General features: G+C 34.5%; 1 protein-coding gene across 7 annotated transcripts in view; it reads right to left on the bottom strand.

Moving 5' to 3' along the window:
* The window catches only part of PGR (progesterone receptor), a 100190-nt gene continuing 89296 nt past the window's right edge, over positions 9463-20356 (bottom strand). For all 7 annotated transcript variants that reach the window (NR_073142.3, NR_073143.3, NR_073141.3 and 4 more), the window contains one exon: positions 9463-19110. Coding sequence is in view for 4 of the 7 variants with exons in the window: in NM_001271162.2 (NP_001258091.1) it covers positions 18955-19110 (156 nt within the window). In the remaining 3 variants the exon portion in view is untranslated. The remainder of the gene's footprint in view (positions 19111-20356) is intronic.

Consider the following 20356-nt stretch of genomic DNA (forward strand, 5'->3'; position numbering starts at 1 on the left):
TGCTGACCCCTCTGAGAAGCTGATGAGAGCAATGGAAAGCATGTGTACATACACAGACACTAAAATTCTGCATAGACTGGGTTGGGATTCAAACTGCCTCAAAACCAGTTGTTGCCCCACGGATAAAGAACCCATGGACCAGATGATTTTTAGAGGCTTGTGCAACTCTAACATCCTATGACTCTTTGACCATATTTTTGTTTTAATTAAGCTTAAACGGTATATTGAGAATCCAAAAAAAAAAAAACACAAACAAACAAACAAACAAAAAAAACCCAGGCAAAGGAAGAAACATATTTATAAGCAATAAGATATTTTAAGTGCAACACATATCTGGGTATAAGAGTTACCAATTTAGATACTAGAATGTGGTATTTGGATAGGTAAAAATAATGAATTTGATATGTGGAAATAAATATATCAGAGCTAGCAATGCATTTTAACATTAATGTTTTAAATAATAAGATTGCTGTTTATTACAAGATGAATTAATTTATACATCCTTTAGCAGTACATGTTCTTCACATGTCATTCAAAAGTTCCATACAGAAAAATATTTAAAAACAGATCAAAACATAGTGACTTTCAAATTAATATAGAGGACCTTATTGATTTGAAATACATATTTTGAAGATGATTTTTAAACAACTAATTTTTATATTTATCATGCACTTTGTTAAACTTGACATGTTAAAATCATTAAAATGATTTTACTATTCTGCTTTAACCAATAAAACAAACTTAAATATTTCTGTTTGACTTAGTTTATCCTTAGGGTGTGGTGTGAAGCTTATTATTGTTATTACTATGATGATGATGATGAGGCAGGACCTTGCTCTGTCACCGGCATTGAAGTGCAATTGTGCGACCATGGCTCGCTGCAGCCTTGACCTCCCGGGATCAAGTAATCCTCCCACCTCATCCTCCTGAAAATCTGGGACTACCACACCTGAATAATTTCATATTTTTTTTATAGAGATGAGATCTCCATATATTGCCCAGACTGGTGTCCAACTTCTGGACTCAAATGGTCCACCCTCCTCAGCTTTCCAAAGTGCTTGGATTACAGATAAGAGCCACTGTGACTGGCCTATTTGCTTATTATTTTAAGTCATTTAAAAAATGAGCTTTTCTGAAAATAGCTGAGAAAAAGCAAATTAACATTTTGAACAGTAATGTCAAATTAAATTTTAGAAAAATATAGTGGAAAACATGACTTGTTTTTCAGAACCAAGATTTTATTAAAGGGAATGGATAGAGAGGAAATAGACAAAAGGAAAATTGTTTTTGCAGATAAAACAAAAATTACTTTTTAAAATGTAGTTAAAATTTAGTGATAATAGAATATAGAAAAAATGAAAAGTTTTAGTTCAGGGAAAACTGCATAAGGTTTGAAAGTATTACAAATCAAACTAGTGCTATATACTATGGCTATCCAATTTCATAATTAAATGGACAAAACTAGAATAAAATTATTTGGGGGAATTTTTTAAGTACCATAAATTTCTTCAGATTATTGATAGATGTGTAGAAAATAAAAAGGAACTATTTGTTTCTTGCATTTTCCAGTAATTAAATGGAAACATTCAGGTTCAAATTGCATAAAGTTAAACAAATACAATAACTACTAAGAATTTATAAAACGAAATTAAATAAAAATCTGTTAAACCGTTACCCAGATTTCAGTATAAGAATAAGGCATAGTTAAATAATCGAAAATGAAGTAAATAATACTATAATTTCCAAAAATGTTGAATTTTGAGATTACATGTATGTCATACACCCCCATTTTTTCAGATAGGTAAAATGAAGTTCAGAACGGTTATAGGTAACTCATGCCAACTCAATAGGAAGTGTCAGAACACAGCTTAGAACACAAATTTTTTCATTTCAAGCTTCCAAACTCTTTTCCCTATATTTTAGCCTTCATGGTAGGTAATGTTTTCTGTCTTTTGTAAAAGGGACCTGACTGTATCTTTCTCTAGGTTGCTTTCACTCATGCATATACACATGCAGAGTTAAGAAGAGCCATTTATTATCCCTGAATAATTTCACTGTAAGTCCTACTTAAGTAGAAATAACTTAGGATAACAACTTGTTAAATAAATTAGCTCCACATGATATATGTAATTTAGTATTATGAAGAAAGTTTTTAAAAATATAAAAATGATGTGAAGTGTGAATAGCCTTGGAATATAAGTTCAGCATTTTTTGATTTCTTGAATGAAACACACTTTGTAGTTACACAGCAAAAGTGAATTCAGCCCAGTTTAGATAGCCAATTCAGATAACTTGGGAACAAACAATAATCCCTTCCTGTCCCTGGATCACCTCTACTTAAGTCAGTTTCCTCATGACATATGCTTATTTATTGTTCAGAAAACATTCTATTAACTGAGCTACCAGTAAAGATGATTTTCTTAAATTTTGCATGACCTTTGAATATAAAATATTTTTCTCTTCACAAAATTAGTTTAAAACTGAAGACCTCTTACATAATAGTTATGAATATCATTCTCTATTTGAAGGTTGGAAATTATAAAAATTCAGGGTATGTGCAAACAATCATTTTTTGACATGTTTTCTAAGAAGCAGCTCCTCATCTATCTCCCATTGTGGGGCATGGGTCTACATTGACAGCCACCTCTTCAGCTACACAGGTTGAAGGTCCATGTGGGCCTGAAATGCCATTCTCCAGAGGCACTCCCACACAAAGCGCCTTCTCCCATGTGCCATGACTTCTTTACCAGATCAGCATTCTAATTTTTTTGAATATAGGTTTGTTGGGCTTTTCAACTAATAAGTATCTATATTGGTAAGCTTAGTATATTTTGGTTATGAAAAATCATATATTTGGTGACCCAAGATTTATTCATTTATAAACTCATAAATTTCATCTACCTATGTTGTAGAATGTTGTGTTGTATCTGTTAAGGGTGTTTAGCAATGTATTTACCTATTTCTTAGTAAAAGTCATATTTGTATAAGGTTTTCTTGTCTGTGAAGGAATTTTATAGGCACTATTGCATTTAAATGCAAAGCTCTTTATTAAAATATTTATCTCTGCTTGTTAGATAATGATGCAGAGGCTCAGAATTAAAGATAGATTACTAAAATCACAGTGGATTACTTTTCAAAACAGTGACAAACCTATCTTTTAAAACTCTGGGTGAAGTTCTGCAGTTTGTTTTACTGTAGGTATTTATTTGCATGCTGTTAACAAGTATCTGAAATTGGCACATAGGCCATCTCTGTTTAGGTTCACAGGTATCTGTGTTCTTGTTCACTGATTACCTCCATTTTTACCAGTATACTATAACCTGTTATCAACCAGGTTTTTATTGTTTTCTATTTTTTTTTTAGAAATTCTTAGTGATAATTATCCTTTCTTAAATCAACAAAACAAACACTTGTACCAGAACTTGAAAATTTGTCAAAGCTAAATGTATATATTATTTGGTTAAATGAATATAAATATTGCATAGCAGTTTCCCCCCTCAATTTCAATTTTGTTGCGTAATTTATGGATTTTTACCTTAGTTATTTTATATTTTCTCAAGTTTAGTGAGGAGTTAGTTGATATGTTTCTTACTATCCATACTTTTTAATAACATCATTTAAGAACTTGAATAGATTCATAATAATGGTTTGTGAATCTTAAAACTTTTCAAAAAACTATTTCTTGACATTGATCCATCTTAAAATTATTCTTTCCTTTGATTAATTTTTCATTACTTAGTAATGTTTCAATAAGAACACTGCATCTTACAAACATTGTGATCATTAGGAAATGTGTATAGATTTATAAAAATCAAAATAAATATGACAAGTAAAAATATTTCTCTTGTTCTATATCATCCAAGTTGGTGTAATTTAAATCTTATTTTAAAAAAACAACTAATTCTACCGTACAATTCTGCTAAAATGGATTTAACAAATTAAGGAATTTAAAATTTAAATGAGGCCGGGCGCGGTGGCTCACGCCTGTAATCCCAGCACTTTGGAAGGCCGAGGCGGGCGGATCACGAGGTCAGGAGATCGAGACCATCCTGGCTAACACGGTGAAACCCCATCTCTACTAAAAATACAAAAAGTTGGCCAGGGGGCGTGGTGGCGGGCGCCTGTAGTCCCAGCTACTCGGGAGGCTGAGGCAGGAGAATGGCGTGAACCCGGGAGGCGGAGCTTGCAGTGAGCCGAGATCGCGCCACTGCACTCCAGCCTGGGCAACAAGCAAGACTCCATCTCAAAAAAAAAAAAAAAAAATTAAATGATATATGTATATATATATGTGACGTAACTTCAAAATTTAAATGTGATATATCCTGCATGTTTTCTCTTTGTCTAAAATGTGGCCCAACTTTAAATATTTTCAACAGAAATGCTTAGTGTCTAAATCTGTATTACCTTTATATAAGTATTATATGGTTACTTATCTTAACCTTCTGCTACATAAACATGAAAACATTCAGATAAAATAAGGAAGCTTTGAAATAGAACATTAAGTCATCAATTATATCAGAACTATTTAATATAATGAAAATACTGAGAATATGATTTTATCCCCAGAGTTCCAACTATTAAAAAAACATTCCAGGGCGGAGGGCTAGGGGAGGGATAGCATTAGGAGAAATACCTAATGTAGATGACGGGTTGATGGGTGCAGCAAACCACCATGGAACATGTATACCTATGTAACAAACCTGCATGTTCTGCACGTGTACCCCAGAACTTGAAGTATAATTTAAAAAAAAGAAGTGTTTAAAAAAATTCCTTTCCAAATGATTCAGTGTTAAAGGTTAAATCGGAGGAACTTTTGATTTTCAAGAATGATATATTTATCATAATTTATATAGCATTCCCTAATATCACTGAATAAAATTTTAAGATATATTTTCTTTAAGATGTGTATGTATTTTTTTAAAAAAACCACTGTATTATAGTAATTTCTGTAGATCTAGGAGCTATCAGTCAACTCTTTAATCCAGAGTGCTATCTTCTGTCACTAGACAGTTTCCCCAACTGCACAGACCGTGTCAATTACTTGCAAGAAAATGTTGTCTCAGAATATATTTCCAGTACTTAAATCTAAATGCAATTTTTAATCCCAAATTTAGTAGGAGAGGAGTTGAGTTTCTTTTGATCTCTGATGAATTCCTTAGCACAGGCTGTGCTGTTGGGAAATTAGTGCTGTTTATAGTTGATTTTCCCAGAACATTGACTCCCCTCTCCCCAGTTTTCTGTGACAGAAACTTCTTTTGTTTTGGAAAAAGAAATGGTGCAAACGATGTTTTTCAGGTTCGTTTATTTAATTTAAAAAATTTTGTGGGGGAGATGGAGTTTTGCTCTGTTGACCAGGCTGTAGTGTAGTGCAGTGGCCTGATGTCAGCTCACTGCAGCTTCTGCTTCCCAGGTTCAAGTGATTCTTGTGCCTCAGCCTCCCAAGTAGCTGCGATTACAGGCGTGCGTCACCAAGCCTGGCTAATTTTTGTATTTTTAGTAGAGATGGAGTTTCGCCATGATGGCCAGGCTGGTCTCGAACTCCTAACCTGAAGTGATCCTTCTGCCTAGGCCTCCCAAAGTGCTGGGATTACAGGCATGAGCCACTGCACCTGGCATTTTTCAGGTTTAGTGGACTGCTCTGAACCTCTACTTAAACTTCTGTACAATGTGACTCAGGTTTAGCTTGTATAGATTGCTGTATGGGTAGGGAAAATGTATGTAAAGTTCTCTAATACAAGACTTAGTGCATAGTAGGTACTCAAATCAGTGACAGCTAAAAAACCAGCAACACTGATTTCAAATTGATTGTTGGTTTCTAATAATTAGGAATTGATATTAGCATAGGGTAAAAGAAGTAGGAAAAATGAAATTCTATTAATGAAGAAGGAATACATACATAGTATTTAATTGAATGTAAGACACTTTGATGCTAGTGATGTCTTCTAATCTTATCACAAGGTATTAAGGAAAAGTTTTTACATAACTGTATATGACCTACTTGGGACATAGCATTGTATGATAACATGTATTACAGGATACATCCTGGTTTTAGATGTTATAAAATTTGAAAATATCAATGAAAAAAAATGACAAATGTTTTCTGCCATGGAAAGAAAAATAAAATACACTATGTAAAACAATAAATATTCTACCCACATTATGATATACACAGGTTAAAAGTGATTAATGTTGGATTTTATTTTATTCTTTTTAAAACATATTTCATTCACATGAGTCAAATTTTATTTGAAAAAAAATGAATTATTTTAGATTTCCAAGCTGTTCATCATGTGTCAAAACAAGGACTACATAAAACAATATTTCTCAAAGTAAAGATCTTACTTTGTGCTTCTCATATTATTATTATTTTTTGACTTGTCACCCAGGCTGGAGTGCAGCGGTGCGATCTCTGGTCACTACAACCTCTGCTTCCTGCATTCAGGTGATTCTCCAGCCTCAGCCTCCCAAGTAGCTGGGACTACAGGCACCCACCACCACTCCCAGCTGATTTTTGTGTTTTTAGTAGAGATGGGGTTTCACCATGTTGGCTAGGCTGGTCTCGAACTCCTGACCTCAGGTGATCTGCCCGCCTCGGCCTCCCAAAGTGCTGGGATTACACGCGTGAGCCACCGCACCCGGCCAATAATTTGAGATGTAAACAATATTGGAGTCCTTTAGGGCCAAGAAAATACAACTTTAGATTTATAATCTAATCTTAACTATTTTATAAATAGCTTTTTCATTATTGTTTTATTCAGTATATCTCATAATTCAAAAAGTTGTTTTTTTCCCTTTGTATATACTTAAAAACATTATTTAATGGGGAGGGTAGTTAGGCTAGAGTCATAAAAATGAGATAAATTTGGTTAGTCCAATCTGTCCCATGCAGAAACTATTTCAGGTACAGAAACTGAAAAATTGTGGCTATTCAGATTGAGAATTTTGTTGATTAATATCCTATTTTTTTCACTTGTAACAGTCTATCCTTGACCTCCTTTGCTGAAAAAATTTACTACTTTGATAATTACTATGCTGCTGAATTTCCCATGACCTAAAATATTAAAAATTATTTTTACTAGTTTATATAATATAAAAGTTTAGGCCAGGTGCAGTGGTTCACACCTGTAATCCCAGAACTTTGGGAGGCCAAGGCAGGCAGATCACAAGGTCAGGAGATTGAGACCATCCTGGCCAACATGGTGAAACCCTGTCTCTACTAAAAATACAAAAATTAGCTGGGCCTGGTGGTGTACACCTGTAGTCCCAGCTACTTGGGAGGCTGAGGCAAGAGAATCGCTTGAGCCCGGGAAGTGGAGGTTGCAGTGAGCCGAAATCGTGCCACTGCACTCCAGCCTGGGTGACAGAGCAAGACTCCATCTCAAAAAAAAAAAAAAAAAGTTTAATATCTTTTGTACCTTTAATCATTTATGTATTAAGGAAAAAGCCACTTAATTTGGATGAAACACCAAAATAGTGCTTGCTATGTCACACACTGCTCTAAGTTTATTTTTCTTATACTGATTTCATCCTTATAACAACCCTATGAAACAAGTACTATTGTTATATCCATTTTACAGATAAGAAAACTAAGGCAGAGAGTGAAAGTATGTTGCAAGGTCACATAGTTAGCAAGTGGTACAGCCTGAAATGAGATTGAGAAGGTGTAGCTCCAGAGCATATATTCTTACTATACTGCTTTCTTATATCACAGCATAATTACGGGTAGCTGACATAATTCAGACATAAAAATACTTTGCTTTTTCATAGAGTACCTAAGTTGTTTAAGCTTTATGAATTCCAAATTGCTCACAAATAACTGGTCATGGATCTCTGCATATTATAGTTATTCTACTTGTTTGGATTCAATCATTTATAAGATGGGATTAAACTTCATCTGATTAGGTAAATACAACCTCCTGCCATTAAAATATAGCTTTAAAAAACTTGATCTTTGATATTAAGTATTTATTCATGATTAGTGTAGAGAGAGCTATACTCTTAGTTTGTTATAGTGACTCCATACAGTGACATATAGTGACACAAGGGAAAAGTCTCATGTGCGTTGACATTCACAGCCACTTGCCACATTTTCTCTTTATTCATTAGTTAACTTTGATTGGAAAAACTCCACCAACCATCAGAATCAAGTATTTATAAAAAACAGCATGTTGTTTCATAGGTAAATACGAAGTTTCTCAACCGTATTTACATTTGTAAATCTGAATATGGTGGCATGTTTTAAAAACCGAAAACATGGTATTAACCAGGAAAAAATAGTGTTTAAGTGATAGGAAAAATGATCCAATAAAGCTTTCCAGATTTTCCAGTCTATTCCAAATCTAGTTGATTCAATAAGAAACAAGTATTTTGACATTTCAAACAATAATATGTGGCATTGTATCAACTCAAACTTACAGCAAGAATCCTGTTCCACTCATTTATCTTTGTGTCTCCAAGACCTAACATGGTTCTGAGGTAAAAGATCACCAGGACTTGTTTTCATGACCCTGCTGATCAAAAACAGGATGTAGCTAAGAAACTGGCCCAAATCAGCTAGGACTAGAAATTATAATGCATCTGCAGGCTATGAGACACTGCACCAGCACCATGACACTTTACAAATGCCATGGGAACACCCAGAAATTAAGTTATATAGTTCCAAGAACTCCCTGCAGCTTTTCCAGAAAATCTGTGAATAACAGACCTCATATTTAGCATATAATTAAGAGTTGGTATACATATAGCTAGCCAGCAACCCACGAGGGCTACTCTGCCTGTGGAGTAGCCATTTTGCTGGATGCTGTTGCTCCAATAAACTTGGCTTCTTTCACTGTGGGTTCCCTCTTGAATTCTTTTCTGAATTAAGCCAAAAATCCTCCCAAGCTGAGCCCCCATTTTAGGGTTTGCCTGCATCAGTTCCTTATAGAATTTAGGCATTTATTTTATTTACTAAAGGAGCATATTTGTATATTTCTAGAGCTATACTAAATTATATTCCTAGTAATGAAACCAATGTAGTCTGAAATACTTTGTTATTACAAGTAGAATATCATTCACCTTAATGTGAAATGCATTAAATTTCATATGAAAATTCTTGTATAATACCAAACTTTTTAATCAATGTGAATAGCCAAAACAGTATATTATTGAATCTCACTAGATGTCAGTTGATTGTATTTTGTCTTTCTGATTGAAACACTGTGTAGTTGGTTTCAACTTGATTGCCTGAGAATCACTCTTTGCTTTGCTAAAATGCATACCCAGTCAAGGATATTTTCTCTATAATGCCAAATCTTCCATATAAATATCTCACCTTATGCCACATACAGTATTGTACAAATTGAAATGTTGGTTATAAATTTTAAATGACTGGTAAAGAATGTACTACTGATGATTAGTGTGTGTCTTGTATGTAATTGTATTGAGGTTTTAGATGCTATAATTCATTAATAAAGAGAGATATAGAAATTAGTTTATTCTTTATTATCACACAGAATAACAAGAATTAGAGTTAAATTCACAATATTTTTAAAGAAAACATTATGTGAAGATGATTCATTTCAAACCACCAGCCAATTTAACATAAAACACTTGTCAAGCTGAGTAGACTGTTTTCTTATGTGAACCACAAAATATTTTCTCTGAAATCTACACTTAGTTTAAAAACAGAGATGGGATTTTGCATATTAGCTTGAAAATAAGTATATGATGATGATATTAGGTGCCCACTAGCACCTAGTTTTTACAGCTTTGCATTGTCACCCCATCACTGCCAGGGACCCAGCCCCAGGCATACACAGATGAAAGGACAGTTTCACCTTCTTGGCAAAAACCTTCAGAACAATTGTCAACATACTCTCAAATGTCTTTCCCACTCAGAAATGAGGAGCAAGGTGTATGACTTTAGATTCAAGAAGTATATGGGGCTAAATATCTTTAAAAGTATAACTCTGGACAATGTACTTAGGGACCTACTACTTACTCAAAATAGGGTAGTAGCATTAATAACTAAATAGGGCGTGAGTCATGAGAAAGATTCCCTGCATCTCTTGCCAAGTATTAACACTAGTTTTACTAATAAGCAACGGGGTAGATAACTTTGAAGATTGCATCAACTTCAACACAAAAAAATGTGAATATCTACCATGTGCAAAACAGTCAAAGTATGTTAGGGGAAATTTAAAACATTACATAGAAAATAAGTATGTGATGATATCGTTAAAATACATGATCACTTAATTTTTACAGTTTTGCATCTGTTACCAGCCAGTGCCAGGAGAACTGTCAGGCACACATGGATAGATGAAGAGTCTCACCCTCTTGACAGAAAACCTCATATGAATACCCAAACCACTTTGAAAGTATGTGCTCAACTGAAATAATTAATCTTTGTGTTTTTCTCTTTGGCACTGGACCTTTCTCCTGGTCAGTTGGAGGCAGGCATATTGCTCTGAGGAGAATTGGAATTGTTATAGCGGAAATGTTCAAAGAAAGTCAACATTCAGCTTTTGACTTCCTCAGTTGGTCTTTGAAATCCACAGAAAGGCAAGTCTGGAGATTAGGGCTTTCTCAAGCGAAAAACATGGTCTAAATCTCAAAGGTATCCTTAAAAGGTGGACTTAAGCATCAAAAGCTACTAGGACTAGATGAGAACTCATTCTAAAACCTGACAGAAGCCTCCAGCACATAGCAAGAGGAAGTGAGAGGCTTTCATGATTCAGAAGAAGGAAGATGTAGGGCAAAGAGGACAAATGCCTACATTCTGAGACTGAAAGTTGAAGGAGGTGAGATTCAGACAAGTAAAGGGAAGTCCAGGAAGATCAAGCCTTTTATGCTTGCCTGTAAAGTCTGCAACATCTTAGAGAAGCTTGGATTTAGTGTGGTGGCAGCTGAGTGGAGGCTTAGCAGGCAGTGGTAAGCCATGGCTCTCCTGAAGGGGCAAGGTGACTCCACAGCAGGGCCAGATGAGAAAAGAGCTGGGCCTATGAGGAATGTGCTAAGCCAGCAAGAAATGGAAGTTAGCAAAGTCCCAGCACTCTGCAGTGCTGAAGCTGAAAGAATAGATAAATTCACAAGCCAAAGACTTAAATATGAGATGATAGCAACGGGGGTCTATGACCAGGCATAACTAACAAGGGACTGGTGTATGGCCAGTGAGGACCTGGAGAAAGAAACCTCCTTCCCACAGCTACCATGTACATACAGTAAGCTTCTGCCTTCCCAGCTGCTGTCTGGTTAGTGGAACTAACAATTTCCTTGATGGAAATTGAATAAGGTAATCCAAAAAGAAGGCTCTTTTAGATGAAAAAACATGGATAGATTATTAAGCGCCAAGTTTTCTCTTCAACCTACTGCTCACCAGTGCTCCCTCCTCAGCTCCAAGGCTGTGGAGGGCTCATGAAGTCACAATGTTCTACTGAGAATTTAGCTTTTTTTTTTTTTTTGGAGTGGGTATACCATTTTGTAATTCCACTTGATAATGGCATCTGATTATTTGATCATGACATCATTATTTGTATACAATGCAGCAAGAATTTTGTTTTTAATGTAGGCTTTTAAATGGGCTTTGATGGAACTTGGTTCCATAGAAGGAATCCCAGATAAGGCTTTTTAAAAGCCGAGCCCAGCCATGGATTCATACCATCAAATACCTATGAGTTAGGTGAATTCCTCTCGAGGTTCCAAGAATCTATACAAAGAATGTGTTTATTTTGTATGGGTTCAGCACAACTCAGTTCCTCTTTCTCATTTTCTGAAACTTGAACTGCTCTAGTCTTACCCGTGTGTATAGACCTGGACTTTGAGGTTGGACAGACATGCAAAGGTAGGGATATAGGTGGAGTGGTACAGATTGTTTGGACAGATAGAATTCTGGGACTTGGGAAAACTAAGTTTTGTAGTTTTTGGTTTCCTGATGAAAAATTTGTAATTTCAACACATAAGCAAAATAATTAGACATCTGGCCTTGTGTTTGACAATTTATATGGTGTATTTCATCTCCTTTCGTCAGTCCTGTCAATGTTCCTATGTTATATCTTCCAAAACCCTTCTGGAAAATTAGAGAGGAGGTCATGATCACCTACAATTCTTCATGTTTATGATCATCATTTTCACCAAAATAGTGCAACTTCCTCAAAAATGTTCTCCCTGCTTCCAGGATTAGTCATCTCCAACTTTATTCTCCATATTCCAGTGGGAGTCTTCTAAAATATTCATATGAATTGTGCTGCTTTCCTGTTTACAACAGAATCAAGTCTACACTCTTTAACATGGTGTACAAGGCCACTGATTATCTAGACCTGGCTTTCTTCTTCAGTCTCATCATCCATCCCCACCCCACATTCTCTCTCCCCATCAGGTTTGTGCAAATGTTGTTTGGGATACTCTTCTCTCTTTGGAATCCCTCCTGTTTGGAATACTCTTCTCTTCTTGCCTTTGGCATCTCCTCACCACGCACGTTCTGCTAATTCCTAAACTGCTTATAGATTGTGGCTTAGCTTTGACTTTTTTCAGGATGCCTCTGCTAACCCCTAAATTCAAGGTAGGTGCTCCTCTTAGGTGCTCCAATAGTTCCCTGTACTTCCTCCAGCATAAGCATTCACAGTACAATATTGTAGCTATCTGTTTACCTGTCTTTATTCCCCATCCAACTCTAAGCTCGGAGAAGACGGGAACACTGGTAATCTCCACAATCTAGCAGAGTGACTGGCATACAGCACAGTAAAGGCTTCACAGCTAGTTGCTGAGGAATAAAATGATGCCTAAAGTAAGACTTTTCAACAAAAAATAATTAATTTAATGTTTTAGAGAGCCCTCCATGTAACTTTTGTAAATCATATTTAATCCTCTCAAAATACAAAGAACTTTGATATTTTCTTCTGTTTCTTTCAAATTTCAGTAAAAAGGCTTTAACTTAAACCCTTTGTGCTGATTTTTCTTATAAACATGCACAACTCAGAAAAGTTAAAATACACAGAATACTAAGATCAAAAGGAGATACTTTACTGGCTAAAGTGAAGAATTCTAAAGTCTGCCATGTGAAAATCTCTTCCTATCCCTAATCATAGCAAATTCAGGGCTTACTAGTTTAGGCAAATTCTGGAAAGTATTTCTACCTTATGGAGAACAAGCAGAGCCACATCTCTGTTTCAACAAGAATATGGTATGTTTGTATTAACTCTCCACATACCTTTTTTGGTTATTCTCATGAATTTTAAAGCCCTTAGAAAAAGATAACTTAATTGTATGTAATATATTATGACCCCAAAGCTCTGGATCTTAACCTAGTTTAGGAAAGCTATGATAGAAGTCCATTGACTAACTATTATTTAAAAAGCAATGACATTTTATACTATCAAGTTAAGGCTGCACAAAATATATCAAATCTGTGTGGATATAATTGTTATTCATGCTGCTCAGCAGCTTTCATTGATATGTCTTTGAATAACAAAACATTAAGAAAACACAATAACTATTTCTTAATAGAAGTACAGTTTGGTGGATAGATACTTCAAGGTATAGACTTTTCTGGGGGAGGAGAAAATAAAAGGTATTTTTAGTGGCAAAAAGCTTGAAACCACTGCTGTCTAAAATAATTCATAACAGTAAAAATGCAGATTAGTAAACGTCATAGACAAAGAGATCAGAAACTTAACATATAACTGACAAGACAAAAACATTTAACTGGGCTTCATTTAGAATAATTTATATCTGATAAATTGAATACATCAGGATTTGATGTATTAAGAGCAATTTCAAAAGATAATAAAAATAAGCTATAGCATATGTCCTGAAAACTATTTACAATACCATTTAAATATTTTATTCATATCTATCCGAATATTGACCAGGACACTAATGCCACACTGCAGAGTTAATAATCTGTGCATTTTCTTTACCGTAATGGACAGAGTATGCTTTCTTAGCTGCCTGATTCACATTTCTCTAAAAATGCTTTATCGGTTAAAGCTTTCAACCAGCTTAAAAATAATGCCTCTCCCATGTCTCCATGAGTGGAAAAAAAGCAAACAAACCTGTGTTTAACAATAAGGTCAGCATGACATACAGCAACAAGAGCCAGTAAATCGAAAATGAGGCTGACATTCTGGGACTAGGCCAGCAGTCCTGCAACAGTCTTCCAGACTCCACAGCTGCATAAGGCTGCGGACAAGCTTGGGCGCAGCCCCTGTGCCTGTGACCTGAGCTCTGCCTTGGAATGAGGTCAACTCCAAGGAGGAGAACAAACCCCTTGGTGTTTTTCTTTGCTTTGGTTATAGGATATTCAGAGAAGGTATGTATTGAATAATTTCTGCCATGAACAGCTGCTGTGTTTAACTTACTACCAACACCCCCAAATTCTTAAATTTTCTCCAGTGACAGGGTGGACAAATTATTGAAGAAAACTGTTCTTTCCTGCTTCTTTTCAGCTTTTAAGGCCACATTGATTCTAGGCCGAACTTTAGAAGTGTAGGTTCTATTAGCTCCAGCTAACTGATGGTCTGTAAGGCCTTCTTTCCTAAGTTTATTAATAAATAGGGATGTGATCCAACCTGAACTCAATAATCTAGGCCCAGTTCAGCTTGGATTCATCTTATGGATGTTGACTAATCTGGCTTGGATTATATTTTATAATATGGGTGAAGAGTCAGTTGTTTTACTGCTTTTTGTTCAATTTTGTATTTAGTAAGGACCATAGAGTGTGGAATAATGGTACATTAAATAGTCCACAGATGCTAGGGAGAAACAGAGATTGTTGTTTTCACTCAGCCATGAATAAGAAAAAAAGAAACCACAAAACCTAGGTGATGTTCTTTTCATTAAAATGATTTCATGACTTAGTGAAGTAAGGATAAGCAATTTAGGACTTGGTGAACTTTTGCTAGACTATCTGGCTATGTATTTTCTGTAAAATTTTAAGAGATGTAGAAATTTCCCACATCCAATGGCTATTGAACAGGCATACTTTGGGAAAAACAAACTTATGCCATTACTTGTCTCCTTGTCCACTTCACTTTATCAGTGGGGACCACAGTTGTTGAGCTATTGAATACAAAAATAGAGTATCTTTAAATTTGAAAAAAAATGTATGTTTTGGCAAGTTTTGAATGCTTCTTATGCACATGGCTCTGGAGTTGTAAAAGTTTTTAAAATGATTCATATTCTATCCTGACTTCTGATGTGTGAAGGATAAGTATGGATGAGAGAAACTGCTCAGGTATTCACAGCAAAAACTAAAAATGTAATAGCCATCCTTCCAAAGCAATAAAAGACAGATTAAAGCAGACATAGATTTCTTGTGGGCATTTTATATCATAACCTTCTTAGGGATAGGGATGTTTTTTGGGTTGATGACTTCATTGTAATTTCTAAACCCATTGTTCCCTTTTGTGGAATTGCTGCCATAGTAAAAATAATTTGAGCATGGGTTTTTGGAGGGGCTGTGTTCTAGTCAGGCTCTCTGTTCTAAAAAGACACTTAAAAATGTTAAAATCAGTGTCATTATTTTAAAATGTCTACAATGGAAGAGTGATAGGCTCTTTAGAACTTTGATAAAACAGGCCCTAAACTCAAAACACTGTATTTTTTCAGCAGAAGAAATTACTTGAATACTTCCAGCCCTAATTTCAAATGAATTCAACCAAATATATCATAGCACATGGTGACATAAATAAAACAGTGAGACTTTCTAGAATCCTGCTTTCACTGTAGAATATAGCTGGTGAGTTTGATAAAATTATAGCCAGAACTATGGCTTAATGAAAACAAAATAGTAGCAATTACTATTTCTGAAGGCCTGTATACGTTTTTTTTGGTTTCCATTTCTATTCATTACAAAGCACTTGGGAAAGGCAGGTTTAATCAGAGCAGTTAAATGACTTGCTTAATCTCATCCAGCTAGTAAGTGGCAGAGAAGGGGGGCACAGTCCTATGTCAGTTATCTCCACAGTGCCCATCATCAAACACATGACTATCTGTGGATAATTTAAGTTACAGGTTGACATTCCATGGCTACTTACAAGGCATAGTTTTGGCAAAAAAAATATTGTTCATCATATTTCCATATCATCTGTATAGCAATAAATTATCTTAATGTTAAATGGGAAAAAATAGCATAGCATTGCCTTATTAAAAAGTGCCACATCTTTAAACATTAAACACACACACAATTGTCACATAACTACTGATAATGGAGGTATAATGCTTTAGACTCAAATGGCTTTTCAAACCTTTTTACAGAAAATATTTTCATTAACTCAAGAATCTATTTCAGTAACCTTCAAGTATTTCCTGATATGTAACCTGTCTTCTTATGATTTAGTGTCATTTTAGAGCTACCAGAAAGAACACGACATGTAAAATGAAGATAATGGTTATGATGACTAAATAGTAATGGAGACATTAGTAGATAGGACTTTGTAGAGAAAAAGATTTAGAAATTAGGTATTTTCCATTTGGTGAAGCCATATTCTTTTTAAAAAGGTACTTTATTTTTAAAGCTTAGCCTTAAATATTAAATCCTAGTGTTTAGACATCTACATTGCAGACAGAGATCAACATCGAAGATATCAAACATTTTAACAAAAGCCAAACCTGTGGCCACCACATTCTATTCCCTCATAGTTGAGTGAAATTAGAAAATTTTAAAGTTATTATGGAAATTAAATATATGCTGGTGGAAATGATTTATATCATCAAAATATTGGTTTAATTCAAAGTAACAAGAATCAGATAATAAAATGATCACAACATCAACTGTTCCCTGAGTCCATCACTTAAGCATAAAGGGCTAATAATATTGTTTTTGTTTCTTGGGGTTTTTTTTGGATAGACCTACATTCATTTTCTTGTGTCACACAGTTCATTCTGAGAGGTGTCACTCTCACAGAGGTAGATTTCCTGTAACTATTATATTTGGGAGATGTTAAAAATACTTTTTTCTTGGGATGACATTTGTGGGGAAAATATATTGAAAGCCTTTTCAATAAGATTTAATGCAAATGAATTACTGACACATAAAGGTGTTATTTAATATTTAAAGTTAGTACCTTTGTGCTGCATGGGTATCAGTAAAATTATATGTAAATGTTTTGCACCTACCTAGTATACGTTGAGTGTACAAATATTAAAATGCCTATTTATCAGGCACTGTAATTTATACCTACTACTGGACTGTAACTTTCCTGAGTTATATGTCTTTCTTCAGCTCCAAATTCTCATAAGGCTTATTAGCACATTTTTCTTGTGCTAATACCAGGTATTCAATCAATATTTGTTGAATGAAATTAGAAATGAAGAAAGTTTTTATGCTGAGGTTTACAGTACAAAACAATTTAAGGCTACATAAACATAAGAAATAATTGTTTTGTGGAATTTTGCTTAGGGAGAGAAATAATATTCCATTCATTCAGTTTAAAAACTTAGAACAAGGAATCTAAAGTATTGTCCTTAAGACACATAAAATACACTTCTATTCTTCTATGTTATAGTCAGTAAAGGGAGAGATCTCACAAAGTAGGAAGCAAAGGTGGAAAATTTAAAAGTAATGAAGATAATTGATGGAGATAAAGCATGGGAGAAGAAAGTGATAAAGTCATGGGTACAGAAATATGCAGAAATGTAACCAAAGAATGATCGAAATCTACAGTAATACCAAGACAGAGAGAAAATGTCATTCAACTCTCAGTCAGCAAACACTATTGACCACTTTATATGGCTCCCAGACTCCCAGGAGAGTCACAATTGTAAAATAACATGCTACTGTAACTCAAATGTGCACAAAATGGCAGGTAAACTCTAGGAGAAGGCAAATTACTGCTTGGAAGACTCAGGGAAGATTTTACAGAAATGACATTTGGCTGAGTCTCGAAGGTTGAAACATGCATGGAATTTGTGTCAAAGGGGGAAAATTCTGGAAGAAATTTCATGGTAAAAAGATTTGCATGGCTGAAACATAATATGAATTCATGATAGTGGAGGATAAAGAGGAGAAAGGTATGTGAATTGATACCTCCCTCCTCCTCCTCTCCCTTTCTTCTTTCCTTTGATTTGAAAAGATGTTAATAAGCTCTGACCCAAAGGAGCAATTGGCAGGAAAGATATTTTACTACTTTCAAAGGTGAGAGAATTGAGAATCAGTAAGAGTGACTAACTTTCAGCATGCCACAGTTGGTAAGGAGTACAGTTAGGCCATAATCTTCTGATTTCTTATGTCCACTCGCAATACCTCATTAGAGGACAATTCTCTCCCCAAAAAAGGTTATTTTAAAAACCTACAAAACCCACAATACTATTTGCATAATGATATGAATCTACTTATTAACTTCCTAAGAGATTTGTGTTTCCAATCTGGAAAATGGTCTTAACATATGAGTTGTTTTGCCTAGTTTGAAGAACATCAATCTATTTTAGTGGTTTTAAACTCTTTCTACATTTTTTGCATTAAAAATACTTTTGAAAATCTGAGGAAAGTTATGAATTTCCTCCTCACACAAATATATATAGACAAAATTTTGCATACCATTTTAAAGGTTCATTTTTGGAAATATAATTGACACAAAGGGAGTTACCTAGAAATAACATATAATAGCTTTGTGTTATTACATGTAAGATTTTTTCTCTTAAGTCGATGATTTGTTAGATGCAAAAGTTAAAAATCCTCACCTACATGGTATGAAATAATATGGATAAGATAGTTTACTTTAACAATTTTAGTACTTTTTCAATCTTGTAAATTCTTCAAGAAAATATGGGTAAACAAAACAGTTAAACATTCTAATTATACTTTATAAAAGAAAATAATTAGAACCTCACAATTTTTCTTTTAAATTTACACACTATGATGTTATAAATGTAAGGCTTTCAGAAGAACATTATAAAAACTCAAGACCTCATAATCCTGACCAAAACAAAAAGACATACCACAAAATTTAATTCTTTAAAAGAAAAAGATGACATTCACTTTTTATGAAAGAGAAGGGGTTTCACCATCCCTGCCAATATCTTGGGTAATTGTGCAGCAATAACTTCAGACATCATTTCTGGAAATTCAACACTCAGTGCCCGGGACTGGATAAATGTATTCAAGCAGTACAGATGAAGTTGTTTGACAAGCTGTTGGTTTAACAAATGAGTAGAAAACATGTAATAAAAATAATAAATTCATATGCTATTCAAACATGGCAATTTATTTTTCTAACTATTTATAATATAAATACTTCTCAAGGTGTTTTTTTCTTACCATAGTGAAAATAACTCCCACCATTTTCTAGAATAATATGTAAAATGTTATATACTCATGATAGAACATTCTGATATTATGGAAAGATTTATTTAAAGAAATGAAAGTTATTCACAATTCTACAGGATAAGCTGTGTGAACATTTTGGTGTATTACTCAAGTTTTTTTTTCTTTTTATACATGTATACAGACATACCCAAGCATACACACAATATTACACATGTTTCATAAATTCTATTTGCTAATCTAGCTGTTTTATATAACAACATATTGGTTCTTCCTATGCCAATAATCCAACATCGTTTAATTTTTATCAAAGTAATTCATGTGTATAATGTTGAAAGTCAAGTAGTACCACATGATTATAAAAACAAAAACAGCAGCAGCAGCAGCATCAATAGAGCCTAGCAGTTTCCTGATAGACTTCTTCCCATCCCTATTCCAGCTCCCTAGACACAACTACCTTCAACTTTTTGTAGCCTGTGTCTTTTGATATTTCTATATTTCCACTAAAGTTAGTTTTAGTTTCTACTATAGGAAATGAAGAAAATGAAGCTCTCTTATACTAGACACTCTCTTCCTCAACTACATACATGTTCTCTTCTCCCCAGAGAGAGCTTTTGGCTCAATTTTTAGCTAAAGTCAATATCCAGCATTTATATCATAAAGATTTTTTTATGGTTTTCTGCTGGATTGCATCTCCATTCTTACGACTTATTTTTATTTTGCAAAAGTGAATCACCTCGTGTTCTTGTTTGCTTTGTTTTCTCTATATTTGTCTCAAAGCCATAGTCAAATTCTGCAACAGAATTGTAAAAATCACCTCAATTACAGTCATACTTAGTGGTAATCTCTCAGTTCCATTTATTTTTCCTGGAGCTGGTATCCTAGAACCCTTTGTATTACTGCTCCCATCTAGACTAACTACTGCTCTGCACAGTTATTGTTCTGGGACATCACTTTGCATCTCTGTTGGGGTGGATCTTTGGCTTAATCCCATGTTTTGTTATAAGACATCCTGTAGCAGTTCTTGAGAAAGTTGTATCTGAGGTAAACTCTAGGAGACCTTGCAAGTTGGAAAATACTTTCATGCTGCCATTGTACTTGTTTGATGGTTTG

This window comes from Homo sapiens, chromosome 11 (assembly GCF_000001405.40).
Source record: "Homo sapiens chromosome 11, GRCh38.p14 Primary Assembly".
Taxonomy (NCBI): Eukaryota; Metazoa; Chordata; class Mammalia; order Primates; family Hominidae; genus Homo; species Homo sapiens.